The 18,309-nt window shown below is 45.0% G+C and overlaps 3 annotated features.

The window, feature by feature from the left end:
• Positions 1 to 502: an enhancer, noted in NCBI's record as "H3K4me1 hESC enhancer chr20:24727663-24728164 (GRCh37/hg19 assembly coordinates)". NCBI's record gives its function as "activates a minimal SCP1, AML or CMV promoter by ChIP-STARR-seq in naive H9 embryonic stem cells {active_cell/tissue: H9 hESC(naive)}" and the evidence as "EXISTENCE:reporter gene assay evidence [ECO:0000049][PMID:30033119]".
• Positions 503 to 1,002: an enhancer, noted in NCBI's record as "H3K4me1 hESC enhancer chr20:24728165-24728664 (GRCh37/hg19 assembly coordinates)". NCBI's record gives its function as "activates a minimal SCP1, AML or CMV promoter by ChIP-STARR-seq in naive H9 embryonic stem cells {active_cell/tissue: H9 hESC(naive)}" and the evidence as "EXISTENCE:reporter gene assay evidence [ECO:0000049][PMID:30033119]".
• Positions 16,178 to 16,678: an enhancer, noted in NCBI's record as "H3K4me1 hESC enhancer chr20:24743840-24744340 (GRCh37/hg19 assembly coordinates)". NCBI's record gives its function as "activates a minimal SCP1, AML or CMV promoter by ChIP-STARR-seq in primed H9 embryonic stem cells {active_cell/tissue: H9 hESC(primed)}" and the evidence as "EXISTENCE:reporter gene assay evidence [ECO:0000049][PMID:30033119]".

The raw sequence follows: 18,309 nt of genomic DNA on the forward strand, positions 1-18,309 counted from the left end.
CTTACAAGAGCTCCGTTCTTTCCTGAAAACTGTATTTCTCTAAAACACTCCCAGAGCCCTTATCACAGCCAAGGCCTCTTTTCCAGTCAGTGGCCTGAGAGTAAGGCAGTGCCCTTGTCAGAAGCTGTTGATGCTGGTAAGAAGCAGTGACCTCTGACCCTTCTGGATGCTGCTGACTCCTGCTGTCACTTTTAATTGCAGAGAAAGTAAAACAAGAGATTTCTACTTTGTGGACTGTGCTACTTCAGCAGTCCCTCTTCAGGCAGCATGCACATATGCCCACACTGAGGTAAGGAACATGAGCCCAGAGGTAAGGAATATGACCAACCTGATCCCCTCAGCCATCACAGGTGGTGGGAAAAGACTTCAGGTGATTCACTCAAAGGCACAAACCAGGGTCCGGGCAGAGCTGGACTTGAACACACGGCTCCTATCTCTCAGGCTGTGTTCGTTGCTCTGCACGCACTCCCGCTGCGTGTTTACTCCTTGGCAATGTGTTGAGCACCTGCCATGAACCAGCTACTGCTGCTGTGGATGCAGTGACAACGGGACAGGCAGAGTCCCTGCTGCAGAGGGTCTGTGCTTTAGTGCAGCAGGCAGCTCTGCAACGTCAGGCACTCCAGCTGTTAAGGGCAGGTGCTACAAAGGGACCCACATCCGGGGGTGGTGAGTGTCCCTTCTCTGGCTCACTCGGGTACAAGAAAGGGAAATTCTGGGAAAAAGTGGCAGCAGTGACAGAGTGCTTACCCTCCCTAAACCTCCCCCTAAAAATAGATGGCATGCTATGGGCTGAATGGCCTCCCTGCAACATTCATATGTTTAAGCCCTAATTCCCAGTACCTCAGAATGGGCTCTGTATTTGGAAATAGAGCCTTTAAAGTGGTGATTGACTTAATGTGGGGTCATTAGAGTGGGTCCTAATCCACCTTGTTGATGTCCTCATAAGAAGAGGAACTTTGGGCACAGAGAGATACTCAGATGTGCATGCACAGAGGGAAGGCCACGGGAGGTGCAGCAAGCCAAGGAGAGAGTCCTCATGAGAAACCAGCCCTGCCCACACCTGGACCTGGGACTTGAGCCTCCAGAACTGTGACACAATAGATTTCTGTTGCTTTTGCTACCAGGCCTGTGTCATGTTGCTATGGAAGCCTTAATGCCCAGAACAACTTGACAGTGAAATCCAAAACTCGTGGACAGCAACCCAACATTCAAGTGGGTGGGACAAACACCCACGAGCCCCCAACCAGATAGTGTGGGAGCAGCAGAAGGAAACAGGAGACAACCCTCGCACCTGGAAACAGAGCCTCCAAAAGGCAGAGGGCATGGGGGTGATTTGGAAACAGCAGTTGAAGCCTAGCATTTGTCTAATGCTTCAGCAAGTACAAGTGTGAGCCTGCTGGGCCGTGGATCCTTCAAACTGGCCTGTCTGGGCTCCCAGCCAGGACAGAGCCCACACTGAGGAGAGATTGGGTGAGAAAAATCAAAATTGAGCAAGATCCCCATATCAAACCTGAAGTGGGGAGGGGAACCCACCCAGGACACCTCAGAGGGCAGACCACCCTGTTCTTAATACTACAAGGAAAGTGCGGAAGAGAGAGCTCTGCAGAGTTAAAAATCCTCCCCTGCAATCAGTCTCCTTCTAAAATATCAGGAAAACCATTTCACATAAAAATTGAGCAACAGAAGTGCATTGAGGTTCAATACGACACAAAATACAAAATTAACACAAGAAAAAGAGACGAAGCAGCAGAAAACCTTTCCTACTAACAATCAAAACTTGCCTGACAAATGGGACCACAAAAATCAGAGCTATCATCTATTATTTCAATATAAACTAAAAGACATTAGGAACACCACATGACATGAACACTCTTAAATGACTTTGGGAGAATTCATAAATAAGGTAACAAAACTCTAGAGAATTTGAAATAAAAGAAAATTATTGCAGAGGTAATGATTAAAATGAAAGGAACATAACACCAAATACACACAAGGGATAATGCCATAGAAAAATAGAAGGCAAAAAGAGGAAATTTGTAAAAACTGAAAAACACGAGTCCAGAGATGAAAAGACTGAGAGAAAGTGGCAAATATGAAAGATAGACAAAGGAAATCTAATATAAAGAAATTAGGAGCCTGAGAAAGACAATCAAAGCAGGAGAAACGATTATCAACCCAGAACAAGCAATGCCAAAACATATCCTAGTAAAATTATTAAACTGTAAAGAAAAGAAAAAAAATCTTTTGAGCATTCAGGCAAAAAGAGCAAATGACTTGTAACGAGAAGAAAGCAAATTATCATCAAACTTTTCAACAGCAACACTGTGTGCCAGAAAATAAATAAATAAATAAATAAATAAATAAATAAATGCATTAGAATACTCAAGGAAAGAAAATGTTAGCCAAGAATTTCATATCCAGCAAAACTGACTTTAATGATAAAGGCCATGTATAGACTATTATCAGTATGTAACAACTCAGCAAAGATCATTCCCGTGAACATTTCCTGAGGAATCTACTAAACACTAAGCCTCAGACGAGCGAGCTGATGAGAGAGACACCCATTCAGGGACTGGTGGGCACTGAAGATAGAGTCGCCCCTGGAACCCAGCCTGGGTGATGGCCCGTGGGAGGGTCTGGAGCTCAGGCAGCATAGATCCCACACAATCAAAAAAGTGGGGGAGGGAGGGAGGGAGGAGTGGTGGTATTGTTATTCTTATTTCATTGACTTTAATTTGGGATAAAATAAATAATTATGTTATATTCTATCAATCACTGTAGGCTTGAGAATCAGGGTTCTTGTTGTGGAAGAAAGAAGATACAGATGGAATAGAAGAGGGTTGCCCCTTTTCTAAAACCTTGTAAATTCTAAATTTGTATAGAGAATAAAACTCATTAGGTATTTTACCTTCAAAGTAGATAGTTACATAGGTAGTCAGACAGTCAGACAGAGAGAGAGATACAGATAGATAGATAGACAGATAGATAGATGGATAGATACATACGTACATACATACATACATGGAAGGAATGACCATTCCAATAGCAATGAGTGCATCCAGCATCCAGACAGTGGTCTTGAAATGTCATTTCCCACTAAAAAAAAAAATAATAAGGAGGGCTTCTTGGGCTTCATGCCTCGTCCCATGTCTGAGAGACGAAATGCATGAGATGAGCCTGGAGCACCCTAGCAGATGCCAAGATACCCTCAAAGACCACGAGGGTCACATCAGAAGGCTCAGGTGCCAGCATGGAGAGACTCTCATTATGAGGTCAATCTTCAAAAAGGAGAATAATTGCAATATGTTGAAAACCCATCAACTATACATTCCTGAATTCATAGTATTTTTAAAATATTAATTGGGCACCTTTTGAAGATGTTGTAAAACCAATTCAATGTTTTAAATAAAAGAAAGTACCCAGTGTTTGTCCTCCTTTTCCTGTACGAATGGTACCCCTGGGTAATCCAGGCATAGGTGAGGAAAAGTCTCTTTAAGAAACTATCCCAGCTAATAAGTGAAAAAAAAATGATGGAAACAGACAATCACCATTTTGCAGGCATGCCAGCCCAGTGGCTGCTGATGTTACACAAAGAGAATCACCCAGACATCGGATGCCTCCTGATGAGACAACACACCTGTCTGGTCTGGAAGATGAATGGTGCCTGGGTCTGATCCGGCTCTGGGTCCAGCTGTGAGAAACAGAGGGTAGCACAGGCCTTGGTCTACACCACGTGGGCACAGCCTGCAAAACCCAGACGGGAAAACTGCAGGCGAACCAGCCTGTGTTCCTCAACAGAAAGGGAAAGAGAGGTGTACAGGGAACCTATAAATTGAGACATCACAGTTTAAAAAAGGAAGATGAAACTCTAGGATCCAAGGACTGCACCTGGATGCTAAGCTGTGGAGAAGTGCAAAGAGCTGGTCTAGTCAGGGCAGGCATAGGAGAGGCTGCAGGTCTGCTTCTTCACCTGTGTGGTGGCTGTAAGGTGTTGACCCAAAATAATTCACTAAGCTATATCTTTTATGGGGTTTTCTGTATCTGTGTTTTATTTTATAATAGAAAATTTACCAATCCCAGCACTTTGGGAGGCCAAGGCAGGAGGATCACTTGAGGCCAGGAGTTTAAGACCAGCCTAGGCAACATAGTGAGACCTTGTCTTCACAAAACTTAATATTAAAAAATTAGCCAAGCAGGGCATGGTGGCTCACACCTGCAATCCCAGCACCTTGGGAAGCCAAAGCGGGTGGATCACCTGAGGTCAGGAGTTCGAGACCAACCTGGCCAACATGGTGAAACCTCATCTCTACTAAAAATACAAAAAATTAGCCAGGTATGGTGGCATGCACCTCTAGTCCCAGCTACTTGGGAGGGTGAGGCAGGAGAATCACTTGAATCCAGGAGGTGGAGGTTGCAGTAAGTCAAGATTGCACCATTGCACTCCAGCCTGGGCAACAGAGCAAGACTCTGTCTCAAAAAAAAAAAAAAAATTAGTCAAGTATGGTGGTACACACCTGCAATCTAGTTACTTGGGAGGCTGAGGCAGGAGAATTGCTTGAGCCCAGAAGCTCAAGGCTGCTGTGAGTTATAATCAGGTCATTGCACTCCAGCCTGGGTGACAGAGTGAGACCCTGTCACTGAAAGATAGATGAATAAAAGAAAGGAGCAGAATCACCCACAGAGCTTGTGTGTTTCGGAGCCCTGCAGCCAGGGTTTCTGATGCAGTAGGTGTGAGCTGGGGCTCCCAGGCGATGCTGGTGTTGCTGTTCCATGAAGCACACTTCGAGCAACAGAGGGAAGGAGCAATGGCTCCTGTGCTCAGTGTGCGACTGGTATTCAATAATAATAATAACATGTTGCATAGCCACTCTGTATCAGGTCCAGCACTAAAGACCTCATCCTACTTAATTCTCAAATTAGCCCTGAAGTTGATATTCGTTTTTTTTGTTTTGTTTTGTTTTATTTTTTGGCAGAGTCTTGCTCTGTTACTAGGCTGGAGTGCAGTGGTGCAATCTCGGCTCACTGCAACCTCCACCTCCCAGGTTCAAGTGATTCTCCTGCCTCAGCCTCCCGAGTAGCTGGGACTACAGGTGTGCACCACCACGCCCAGCTAATTTTTGTATTTTTAGTAGAAGATGGGGTTTCACCATGTTAGCCAGGGTGGTCTGGATCTCTTGACCTTGTGAGCTACCCGCCTCAGCTTCCCAAAGTGCTGGGATTACAGGTGTGAGCCACCACGCCCGGCCGATATTCTTACATGCCTTGGAAACACAAAGCCATGGAAGCTGAGAGAACAGAGTGTGGCTGCAAGGGAAAGAGAAGGGGGGTCAGCCCCAGGGCCACCCTGGAGCCTGCAGCTCCAGACCCAGCATTCCCAAGGGCTTTGCTGTGGGCCTTCCTTTTAACAGAAGCAATGATTGAAAACTTAAAGGCATGTGTGGGACTGCAAAGCTGGTTTCCTTCTTGAGGCATCCAAATGTCACGAGTTAGCCCATGTGTGCCAAGCCCTCAAAGTAGAAAGGTAAGGAGGTCCCAGCTCAGGCCTTGCACTGGGTGTTTCAGTTATCCTGTGCTGTGTAACAAAACACCAGGACATGGTGGCCTAAGACAACAGCGAGAGGTGTTGCTTCTCACAATTCTATGACTGGGTAGTTCTGTGGATGGTCAGTCCTGTGGCCCCACTCTGTTGGGAGCTCAGCTGGGGCTGGAAGCCTGAGATGGCCTCAAACCTGTACCCAAGGCCCTAGCACTGGCCGTCAGCTAGGCCCCTTGCCTGATGTCCTCTTGTCATCCAATGGTCTAACCAGGGCTTCTATCCCCACGTGGCAGGGGAAGCAGTGCAAGCCCCAACATGCAAGCCCTGGTCAAGCCTGGTCAAGCCTCTGCAGGCAGGCGCTCAGTCCAGCCTCGTCTCCCACAAAGGACAAGTGATAGGAGGCTGTCAGAGTCAAAGCCTCCAACTACAGGCTTATCGTGGACTATGGGTTCGTGTCTCCCAGAATTCGTAAGTTGAAACCCTAACTCTCAACAAGGGTGATATTAGGAGGTGGGGCTTTTGAGGGAGGGTAATTGGGTTGTGAAGGCAGAGCCCTTATGGGGAGAGGCTGTAGGAGGGGAGAGGGTGCCTCCTACCTCTTTTCCCTCCACCATGTGAAAACATGTGGAGAAGGCCACCTGCAAGCCAAGGCCAGCCCTCACCACACACCAGACATGCTGGCTCTTTGATATTGGACCACCTGGCCTCCAGAACTGTGAGGACTAAACGTTGCTGTGTCATCCACCCAGCGCGTAGCAACCCAAACAGTAGACAGGGCTACAGATGGCAAGAGCTGGGGAGAACTTAGAGACCAGCCTCCTCATGGGTTGTGACCCTGACTCTGTGCAGACTTCCAGCCATGCCAGGGAGCTCACAGCTGGAGTGAGAGCATGGTTGCCCTGTGGTGAACTTGGGTCTGACCAGGGCCTGCGTTTAACCCCCTGTACAGAGAAGGGAGGATGGACAGTGCTTGGACCTCCACACTCTTCCTTCAGCAGCCTCACCCGCTGCATGTGGTCTGAGGACCAGCAGCCTCAGCATCACGGGGGACCCGGTTAGAAATGCAGAATCCCAGACCCATTCTCAGATCTGCAGAACCAGATGCTGCATTTTAACACAATCTGCAGGTGATTCATGTGCATAAGAAAAATTGAGAAGCTCTAAGAGATCATGGACCTGGTTCCTCCACAAATAAATTTCAAAGGAAAAAAAAAGGGGCGGGAATCTCTGGGTTAAAAGAAATAAAACAGGCCAATAACATGCAACAGGTGGACCTGGTTTGGATGCTGATTTGTATGAACCAATAGTAAACACTGATATTTGATGCTGAGGACTGTTGATGGTTAGGTGTCTACGTTACATTAAAAGCACCCATCTTTTAGAAATGCATACTGAAATGCCTAATGACAACACCATAGGATGCCTGGGATAGGCTTCAAAACAACCCAGTGTGCAGGCAGAGGGAGCACACGGGAGGGCTGTATCTCAATTTTGAAAAAACACCTTGCATCCATCAGCTAGAGATGAGTATATGTGGGCCCAATAAACTATTCTTTCTGTTGTTGTCTGGATTGGAAATTCCAATAAATAAATGATTATTTAATCTCCTGGCTGTTTTTAAATAAATAAGCAGATCCCTAGGTGTTACTCAGACTTATTGAATCTCTGAAAGTTTAGCCCTAGGAAGGTTATTGTTGTTGCTTGTTTGTTTCAATCCTTTCCTTAGGTAATCTTGATGCATTTGGTACCAGGGCTGTGGTTTGGGAATCACCAATTGCATTCAAGTGTTATATCTAGAAAGCATTAAATTTCCAGAAACTCAGCCCTGTTCTTGACAGGGCACGCCAGACAGGCAGGAACTGGGGTCAGGATGGATGAGGAAAACAACCATAAGTTTCTCAAAGACAGAAGTAAATCGGCTTCTTCTGAGCAATTGCTTCAGAACACCTTCTCCTCTGCCCTGAGCACCCTCTTATTAGGTGCAAAATCTCGAGGGGGCATTTGCTCCTAGTTCTTCTGCCCCTGCTGACTCTATAATCTTTGATGTGGCCAGATTTGCACAGTTACTTAACTGGCCTGTCCTCTGTGGGCATTTGTGTTTGCCAGAATCCTGTATGACCTTATGAAAAACATTGTTCAGGGTACAATATCTGTGCTATTCCTCCCACAGCCATTTGCATTTTAAATGAGAACACTTGTTAACTCAAAAACAATGACTTTCTAATGGCTCAATTTTAGAGATGGTGGCCGGGGCAGAGATTTCGAGCTGGCTGTGCTGCCTGGAGTATCCTAGGTCAGGACCCTTCCTTCTGTGCTGCGCTGTGGTCCTGGGCACCACCCAGCTTGCTGGACGGAAGCTGGCTACAGCGTGCCAGGGGCTGTTTCCCTTTCATACACTCCTCACTTAAAGGCCTTCAAGTTACTAACAATGATATTAATAATGCACGGTACTTAACAACCACAAAACAGACAGAGCTGCTGGCCTGTTTTCTATCCCCCAGATACAAAGAGGTCTAGGTTTATGCTTCTGGTGAGAAGGTCAAGAAAACCTTCTGCACCTCAGTTTCCCCCTCTGAACATAGGGGCAAAACAATCCTGGAATACAACTGTTTACTTAAAAATCACACAATTTATACATTTGGAAAGGAAACCATATTTCTTATAAAGGGTTCTGACCACAGCCGGAAGGTAGTCTTCCTGCAGGCTGGGAAGCACAGCTTCTGGCAAAGACCAAAGTCAAGCACTTTTAAGAAAAATAGGTGGGGGGAGGAGCTTTATGCCAAATGAGTTGGCTAAACATGCATATTCAACAGGTTACAGAAGGAGCTGTGAATATTCATAACAAGGATCCTGATGCACACATATAGAACATGTATGTCACATATGATCCATGTTCGCCTTGGGGTGGAGACTTAACATTTAAATGCATGACTGTTAGGCCCTATATATCAAAAGGTCTTTTCAGGACACAAAGGCGCTCAAGTGTGAAGCCTCTGTAAACCATCCAGAACCAGTCCACAGTTGGTGGTCTCTTCTCTGGAGAAAGTTACCGAAATCAGCCTGTTGTTCAATCAAAGCTGTAGTCACAGTTTGTGAAACCTGGGGTCAATGTCCAGTGGAGCTGCAATTGTTTCAACATTGCTTATCCCAAAGCCAATGCTTGTTCAGCTGCTAGAGAAAAAGAAAAACCTCATGACAGAACATGGTTTATTCTTACAGTGTAGGGGTGAGTGATTTAACCCTTGACTCTCATGGCCTTAGGCCCTGTTTATACTTCAGCAATTTATTGCCACACAGAGTCAGTCCCTTCAGTCTTATGATCTCTATTTTAACATTCGTGCTGGTCAGTTGTTTCTAAACCACAAGAGGGAGGGGAGAAATGAAGGGTGTCTGACCTCCTGCCCTGTCATGGCTGGGAACTCAGTTTTTATGTTTTTTTCTGGGATCCTTTGGCCAAGAGAGGGTCTGTTCAGTTGGTGAGAAGTCTAGGACTTTATTTTTAGTTTACACAACAAAGGGTGATTGGAGACCCAAGTGAGACAGTGTTTGGGAAACTACAAAAAGGGGTAAGAGAGAATGCTTTTCTCATTTCTGTCTTAATTCAGTTTTGTCTTCTTAAATATCTAAATTCTATTATCATCTTGAATATTAATCATCCCAACTCCTTTAAAAAGTGCATCTCAACTTCTGCTTTCCTGTCTAGCAGGTAAGGAGTTTGCAAGTCATTCCTTCATCCTAGAAACAAACAAACAAAAAAAGCTGAACAAACCAAAAAATCAACAACTCTTTTTAGATTCATCAGAGAATCGAGGTCACAGTGAAACGGGAAAGGTTCCCTTGTCCCCCTCACAGGGCATGCAACAGGGAGAGTGGCTCGCTTCTTCAGTGCCCCACTGCTCAAACCTCTAGGGGAGCATAGAGACGGGCAGGCTGTGGGGCTCTGACCCCACGGCAGTGTCTAGGGGTGGATGTTTACAGCTCCTGAAGCCCCAGTGGGTGTGTATTACAGAGTGTTCTTTTAGTTTGCCATCTATAGGTGGCTTGTGTTAACCAGCTCAATTAGACCCGCTTCCATATCACAAGGACAGAGGGATTTCTGTATTCCAGGTTCTTGCCCTGGTATACCAGAAGAATCAGATCACACATGGGCTTGGAGAATGAGTGCAAAGTTTTACTGACTGGAAGTAGCTCTCAGCAGATGGGGGAGCCACAAGGGAGACGGTTTTCCCCTGGAGTTGGGCTGCTCAGTGGCCCAGGCTCGCTTTCAACTGCCCCAGCCAAACTCCACTTCATCCCACAGTCGAGATATGGCAGAGATGTTAGAATTACCAGACGTTGAATTAGAACAGCTATGATTAATATACTAAGGGCTGTAATGGACAAAGCAGACAGCGTGTACGAACAGAGGTGCAGTGTAAGCAGAGAGATGGGAATTCTAAGAAACATCCCCCAAAAAGGCTGCAGATCAAAAACACTGTCACTGAAGTGAAGAGTGCCTTTTATGGGCTTATTAGGAGACTGGACATAGCTGAGGAAAGAATCTCTGAGCTTGAGGATATCTCAACAGAAACTTCTAAAACTAAAACACAAATAAAAAAAGACTGAAAAAAGACCTGTGGGACAACTAGAAACAACACAATATACATGTGACGGGAATAGTAGAGGGAGAAGAAAGAAAAAAAGAAACAAAATAAATATTTAAAACAATAATGCCTAAGAATTTCCCCAAATGTCAGACACCAAACCATAGATTCAGGAAGCTCAGAGAATATACCAAGCAGGATAAATCCCCCCAAAAAGTTGCACCCAGGCATGCCACATTCAAATGAGGAAAATGAAAAATAAAGAAACAATAATTAAAGAAGCCAGAGGAAAAAGAATCTTATCTATAGAGAAATAAAAATAAAAATTTCATCCAGCTTATCCTCAGACACCATGCAAACAAGAAGAGAATGGAGTGAAGTATTTAAAGTGTTGAGAGGGGAAAAAAAAAACAAATAACAAAAAACCAGCAACAACCAACAATTCTGTACCCTAAGAAATTATTCTTCAGAAATGAAGCAGAAACAGTCTTTTTCAGAAAAACAAAAATTGAGGAAATTTGTTGCCAGTAATCCTGACTTGCAAAAAAATATTAAAAGAAGTTCTTCAGAGAAAAAGAAAAGGATACAGCCTAGAAACTCAGATTTACATAAAGGAAGAGCATTGGAGAAGGAATAAGCAAAGATAAAAACTTTTAGTTTTTATTCTTAATTGATCTAACAGATAACAATCCATTCAAAATAATAACAATATATTTGAGTATGTATGTTTACATATGTATATGTATTATATATTATACATGTGCTTATGTGTAAGTGAAATGAATGACGACAATGACACAAAGGATGAGAAGGGGGAATTAGGATTATTTTGCTATTATATGGTACTTGCACTACCTGTGAAATGGTATAGTGTTATTTGAAAGTGGACCTGGACTATATTGCAAACTCTAGGGCAACCACTAAAAAACAGTTTTAAAAATTATAACTGGCAGGATGCGGTGGCTCAAGCCTGTAACCCAACACTTTGGGAGGCCAAGACAGGCAGATAACGAGGTCAGGAGTTTGAGACCAGCCTGACCAACATGGTGAAACCCATCTCTACTAAAAATACAAAAATTAACCGGGCATGGTGGTGGATGCCTGTAGTCCCGGCTACTCAGGAGGCTAAGGCAGGAGAATAGCTTGAACCCAGGAGGCGGAGGTTGCAGTGAGTCGAGATCACACCACTGCACTCCAGCTTGGGTATCAGAGCAAGACTCCATCTCAAAAAAATAATAATAACAACTGATATGACAAAAAGAAGAGTAAATAAAATGATATGAAATACTCAAATGAAACAACAAAAGGCAGAAAGACTAGAATGCAAAAGTAGGAATAAATAACAAGGGCAGTGAATAGCAAACAAGTAACAAGCATGCTAGATATTATTCCAACTATGTGAATAACTACTTTAAATGTCAATAGTCTACATACACCAATTAAAAGATGAAGAGTGTCAGAGTGGATCAAAAAACAACACCCAATTATACATTCTCTAAAAAAAACTCGTTTGGATAAAAAGATACATATAGGTTAAAGTTACATCGATAGAGAAAGATATACCATGCTAACACTAATAAAATGAAAGTTGGATTAGTTATATTAATTTTAGACAGGGCAGACTTCAGAGCAAAGAAAGTTATTAGGAATACAAAGGTGCATTATATAATGATAAAGGAGTCAATTCTTCCAGAAGACAATGTAATATTTAATGTGTACGTCCCTAATGACAGAGCATCAACATACATGAGGCAAAAACTGACAGAAATGAAATGAAAAATAGAAGAACTCACTCTTATAGTTGGATACATCAACACCTCTCTATCAGCAATGGACAGATACAGCAGGCAGAACATTAGTGAGGAAATAATTGAACTCATCAGCACCATCAATCAACTGGATATAATTGACATCAATCTACTTCATTCAACAATGACAGAAGACACCTTCTTCTCAAGCTCACATGGAACATTAACCAAAAGAGACCATATTCTGGGGCATAGGACACACATTAACAGACTTACAATAGAACTCACACAATGTCTTTTCTCAGAACACAATGGAATTAAAATTAGAAATCGATAACAGAAGGGGAGCTGGAAAAATCCCCAAACATATAGATATTAAACAACACATTTCTAAATAACACATGAATCAAAGAGTAAATCTTAAGAGATTTTTAAAAATATTTTGAAAATGAAAATACAACTGATCAAATTTTGTGGGATGCAGTGAAAGCAATGCATAGAGAGAAATTTATAGCATTGAATGCACCTATTAGAAAAGAAAAAAGGGCTAAAATCAATAACTTAAGCTTCCACCTTAGGAAACTAAAATAAGAAGAGCAAATTAAATCCAAAGTAAACAGAAAAAGTAAATAATAAAAATTAGAGTAGAAATCAATGAAATTAAAACAAAAAATCAATATCAAGAAAATCAACAAAATAAAAATTTGGTTTTTTGAAAAGCTCAATAAAATTGATAAGCCTCTAGCCAGGATTAACTAAAGAAAAAAAGAAGACACAAATTTCTAACATCAGAAATGAAGGAGGGCACAACACTACAGATCTCATAGACATTAAAATGGATAATACAGAACTATTATGAAAAGCTCTAGTCATCAAACCTCATAACGTGGATGAAATGGAACAATTCCTGCAAGGAAACAATCTGTTGAAACTTACATGAGGAGAAACAGAGAATTTGAATGGAGCTATATCTATTAAAGAAATTGAATCAATAATGAACAACCTTGCAAAACCAAAAGCACCAGACCCAGGTAAATTATACCAAGCATTTAAGGAAGAAATTGTACAATCTCTTTTAGAACATAGAAGTCAGAATTACCTTAATACCGGAACTGCACAATTACCTTAATACCGGAAATGCACATAATTACCTTAATACCGGAACTGCACATAATTACCTTAATACCAGAACTGCATAATTACCTTAATACCGGAACTGCACATAGAATTCTGTCTATGAAGTCAGAATTACCTTAATACCGGAACTGCACAAATACTTCTCGAGAAAACTACAGACCAACATCTCTCATGAATATAAATGCAAAAATGCTCAAAAAAAAATAACAAATCCAATCCAACAATGTATGAAAATAATTCTATACTATGACCAATAGGATTTATTTCAGGTATGCAAGGCTGATTCAACAATGAAACATCAATTAAAGTAATTCTAATTCATCATATCAACAGGCTAAAGAAGAAAAAAATCACATGATTATATTAACAGATGCAGAAAAGCATTTTATAAAAATCCAACACCTATTCATGATAAAAAGTCTCAGCAAACTTGTAATATGGTGAACTTCCTGAACTGCATGAAGAACATTTACAAAAATCCTACAGCTAACATAATAACTAATGGTGAAGAACTCAAAAGTTTTCCTCTAACATCAGGAAAAAGGCAGGATCCCCCCTCTCACCACTGTTTTTCAACATTGTACTAGAAGTCCTAGCTAATGCAATAAGACAAGAAAATGAGTAGCCAGGCCTGGTGGTACATTCCTGTAGTCCTAGCTACTCAATAGGCTGAGGCAGGAAGATCCCTTGAGCCCAGGAGTTTGAGGCTGCAGTGAGCTCTGCCTGCCCCACTTCACTCCAGCCTGGGTGACACAGCAAGACCCTGTCTAAAAATAAAAAAGAAATAAAAGATACAAAGATTAAGAAGAAAAGATAAAACTGTCTTTGTTTGCAAATGACAAAATTGTTTTTTAGAAAATCTAAAATAATTGACCCAAAAAACCTCCTGGAACTAATAAGCAATTACAGCAAGGTTGCAGGATATAAGGTTAATATACAGAAGTCAATCACTTTCCTATATACCAGCAATGAACAAGTGGAATTTAAATTAAAAACACAACAGCACTTACATTAGCACCAAATGAAATAAAATACTTAGATACAAATCCAATAACATACACACATGATCTGTAAGAGGAAAACTATAAAATTCTGACAAAAGAAATCAAATGTATCACTCTAGTGTGGGATGTTGATAATGGGGAAGGTTGGGGGAGCACAGGTTATATGGGAAATTTCTGTACCTTCTGATGAATTTTTCTGTGATCCTGAAACTACTCTAAAAAATAAAATCTCTTTCTTAAATCAAATCTTTAAAAAATGCATCTCTGGACTGATTCAGCATGAGACATCTGCTTGTATTTCAGGATCACATGGTGCCCAGCAAACCTGCTCAGTTATTTCCACCAAGATCAACACAGAGGTGTGGGTGTTGTGTAGGTGTCTGCACTGATATTCAGTCCTGCTGGGAGCTCTCTGTGCACTCCAGCCCTGTTAGGACAGGTATGGGTAAGTCAGATAAGACTGTGAGCTGCCCAGGGCACACAACTGGAGGTCAATGAGGCCCAGGCCAGCCCTGAAAACCATTTCTCACTTTGCATCCCACAGCCGCAACAGTGGCACCTTGGCCCCTCTTTGTGAAGAGCATCTTGGCCTCCTCTGTGAATCTTTACTTGAATCCCCCTTGCCTAGACTGTCAGCTGCAGGAGGGCGGGGGTAGCCTGTCTGGTTTAGCTGCTTCTCCAGTGCCTAGCACAGCACAGACTCAACAGCCTTGTCGCCAGCTCAGGTGCTGCCTCTGACAGAGCTTATGAGGATGCCTCATGGGAGGGAGGCAGAAGCCTGTGTCAGGGCTTCTGCCCTGTGTGTGGACCTCCAGAGGAGCATCCAAGTTTCAGGAAAAGGCTCCACCAGCCTGTGCACTCACACACGCATGCTGTCATACAACATTAGCCTTTCTTTCTGGACCCCTACACCAAGCGTGACATCTGCCAGCGCCCTAGTGAAGGAGTTCTGAAGGTATGTGCTGCAGAGGCCTGTGCCTGGTATTCAGCAAGAGTGCAACACATGCGTGCTAAATTCAGTGGGGAAGTGGTCTTCTCAATATCTCTTGGACTGCAGCAAAACTGAACATTCTTCTTCTGTGTGTGTGTGTGTGTGTGTGTATGTATATATTCATATTTACTATAACAACTAAAGTGTGTTTGCACTATACATACTGTAAATGCGAGACTGAAATAAATGTAGATTGGCATGAGAAGTATTTGCATAATATGTGTGTATAAATAGATAGATATAGATACAGATAGAATAAAAACTTAGTTATTGTAAGAAGGAAAGATAGATGGGAGGGGGCATGCTGGCTGCAGACCCCATGCTCAACAAAAAGGTGACACACACATAGTTTCAGGTCTACTTTCAAGGACGTGCAACCCTGCTGTGTATTTCCAAGAAGGTCCAACTTACATCTTCACTCACAGTAAGACGCTGCTGTCCATGGGAACTCAGGTCTCCCCTGTTCCTCCATTGTCCCCCAACTGCCTAAGCCCCATGAAGCTCCTTCCCTTGGGCCCTCCCCTGCTGTGTATACATGTGGGAGGGTCCCCCTGCCTTGCCAACTGGCCCACTCCCCAGGACCTCTCCAGACCTCCAATGGCGGTCTCTGCATGGCCCTGCCTAGGGGAAGCCTCTATGCAGAAGATCCCTGATGCTCCAAGGGGACATGAGGGTGGCTGGCAGGTGCTCACTGCCTTGAAAAGCCAGTAAGTCTCCTGCCTGGAAGACAGCAAATCCCATGTTCTGCCCCAAGACTTTTCCAGAAAGCAAGGAAAGCAGCTTCTGAGCCACAGGAGAAAACACGGAACTCCTTGATCATCACTGCCCTTGCCCATCCTCACCCAAGCAGCCCTGAACTTGGTGCCAAATATTCTGGGATCGTCCCCTCAAACCCACTCTACATGTAGGTGAGACAGCCAGCTCTCTCAGTGTGGTCCCCAGAGGCAAACCCTGGGCACGGATCCCAGGCAAGAGGCTGAGCTGGGAGAAGAGGTGTGCAACCTGGCAGAGGAGGGGAAGGTGGGCTGGGGAAGGGGAAGGGAGTGAGGACTGACCCTACATGGAGCTTTGGGAGCTGGCAGCCCCATCTGGGCTTTCCCCCAGACAGGGAAGCTGGGGCACTTGGGAACCCCCCCAGCCCTGGTTGAGGGCTGTTCCCTCTGGATGGCCAGGGGGGATCCAGCCCACCCAGCCCTGCCTGGCCCCAGCCAGAAAGAGCCTTGGTAGAGTCTCAGGCCCTTGGCAGCTGGATCTCAGACGACAGTTACATGTGGCTGGCTCTGAAGGCAGCATCTATAGCAGAGCTTGGGGACATTTAAGTGACAGCAAATCTCTAGGGTTCCCTTGAGCCATGTGGGAACCTAAGTCTGCCAGCCTTGGACTCAGACCTGAGCATGCCCCAGCAGCTTCTCACTTCAAGTGAGAAGTGTCGGCACCGCCCACACAGCAAAAGCAGCACTAAGAGAAAGAATTGCAAACCACCCCAAAAACACTGCTCCCTTCAGCTGCGAGGCTCCTACTCCTCCACGCTGCTGGTGGTTGGAGAAAGGACCAGGAGTGGGAAGGCCTCCGAAATGCGGGCCTCCAACAGCAGCAGCTTCCTCCCCACATTCGGAGCCAAGGTCACAGCCCGCAGAAAACCGTAGCTGGAAGGAGGGGCCTCCAGTGCACGTCCCGCGCCTGGGGTGCTGGTGGTCAGGGAGCAAGTACAGCAGTCAAGAACATCAAGCCAAAAGAATTTTTCTTTGAAAAGCAAACCTCAGACATCAAACGTCTGGCCAGGTCTCGCTGGTTCAAACGACGGAGTGAAGGAAACACCTGGGGCATGCACTGCTTCCCTGTCGCCCTTACTGACCACGGGAATGGGAAGCCGCCCAGCACACGCTCGTGGTGGGATTGGAGAAGCGCTCACCGGGTTGATCGTAAAACAGGGACGTGCCTAGATGGCCCTCCCTGCAGAATTCACCCCCGAGGCCCCTTGATTGACTTCCAGATGACCCTGAGGTGGAGGCTGCCTTCCCATTTTATAGAGAAACTGGAGACTCACCAAGGGCAGACTGGGTGGGTGGGCCCAGGGCACATTGCAGACACAACTGGCACCCAAGACTTTGCTTGGGAAAGATGACTTGGGGACCAAAGTCAGGTGCGGGGTGGAGGACAGCAGCACCAGGCCATGGCAGCCGAGCAGCGGGATCTGCTCTGGCCTCCAGGGAGGCTTCCTCATTTGGCGGCTGCAAAGAAGACAGCCTGGGCTTCCCGGCACATTCCTGAGATGGACGCCGCTAGATCCCCAACCTGCACCCCTTCCCTTGCCTGTTTGACACCAACCCAGAGTGAGCAGCTTCAACCACCCCACCTGTGCTCCCATCTTGCGATGCTGTAGTCGACAATGGCTCATTGGGCAGCTCCAGCCTGTGGGCTTGGAGGTCAGGCGGGCTCGGGGCTGGCTTGTCTCTGCTCTGCACTGTGTGCCATCCCCCAGCAGCCCCACTAGGCTTGCCACCACGACAGCGGGACTCTAGAGTAAGCAGAAGGACACCCCTGTTTTTCTGAAAGACACAAGAGTTTTTTCTTGGTGGGCAGCGACCCGGCCTCCAGACTTCCCTGTGATGCTCTGGACTTTCTTCCAGGACTCTCATCCCCCACTCACTACATCCACCTCATTCAATTTTCCGCTCCCAGGAGCACTGCCCAGAGCAGCAGCCTCTTGTCTCCTTCATTAGCCACAGTGCCCATCACCCACTCAGAGCCCTGGACTCTCCTGATGACAAAGGACACAAATGATGACAGGTACCATGTCCCTTCCCCATCACTTGCTTTAGACGTGGTTTTAATGCTGAGTGCTACTTACATGAGAGGCTGACAGTTCCCTCAGCCTTCTCTGAAACGATGCTGGAATCACTGGCTGAGCACCACGGACTCAGCATGTGACCTGCTGAAATTCTGGGCCAGGGTAGGCAGCTGTGTGTCATCTCCATCTCCAGGGTGGCCAAGCCCTGGGAGGGAAAGGATGTGATTCCGGAACAAAGCTCCTGACACCGATGGGCCTCATGATGCCGAAAGGCATAAGGGAGGTGGCCGACGGCCGGGCTGTGTGTCCACAGGCTACCACCCCTCCTGCCCAGGCCAGTCTTGCCTCCTCTCCACAGACCTTGTTGTGTAACCTGGAAGGAGGAATGAAGAGGAAAAAGCTAACATTAAATTTTAACACAGACACAGGAGAACACACACACACACACACACACATGCACACACAAGGACACAAGCCCACTGCTGTTCAAATCTCAGTCGCCCCAGCCTACTCCTCATT

The sequence above is a fragment of the Homo sapiens genome, chromosome 20, assembly GCF_000001405.40.
Source record: "Homo sapiens chromosome 20, GRCh38.p14 Primary Assembly".
Taxonomy (NCBI): Eukaryota; Metazoa; Chordata; class Mammalia; order Primates; family Hominidae; genus Homo; species Homo sapiens.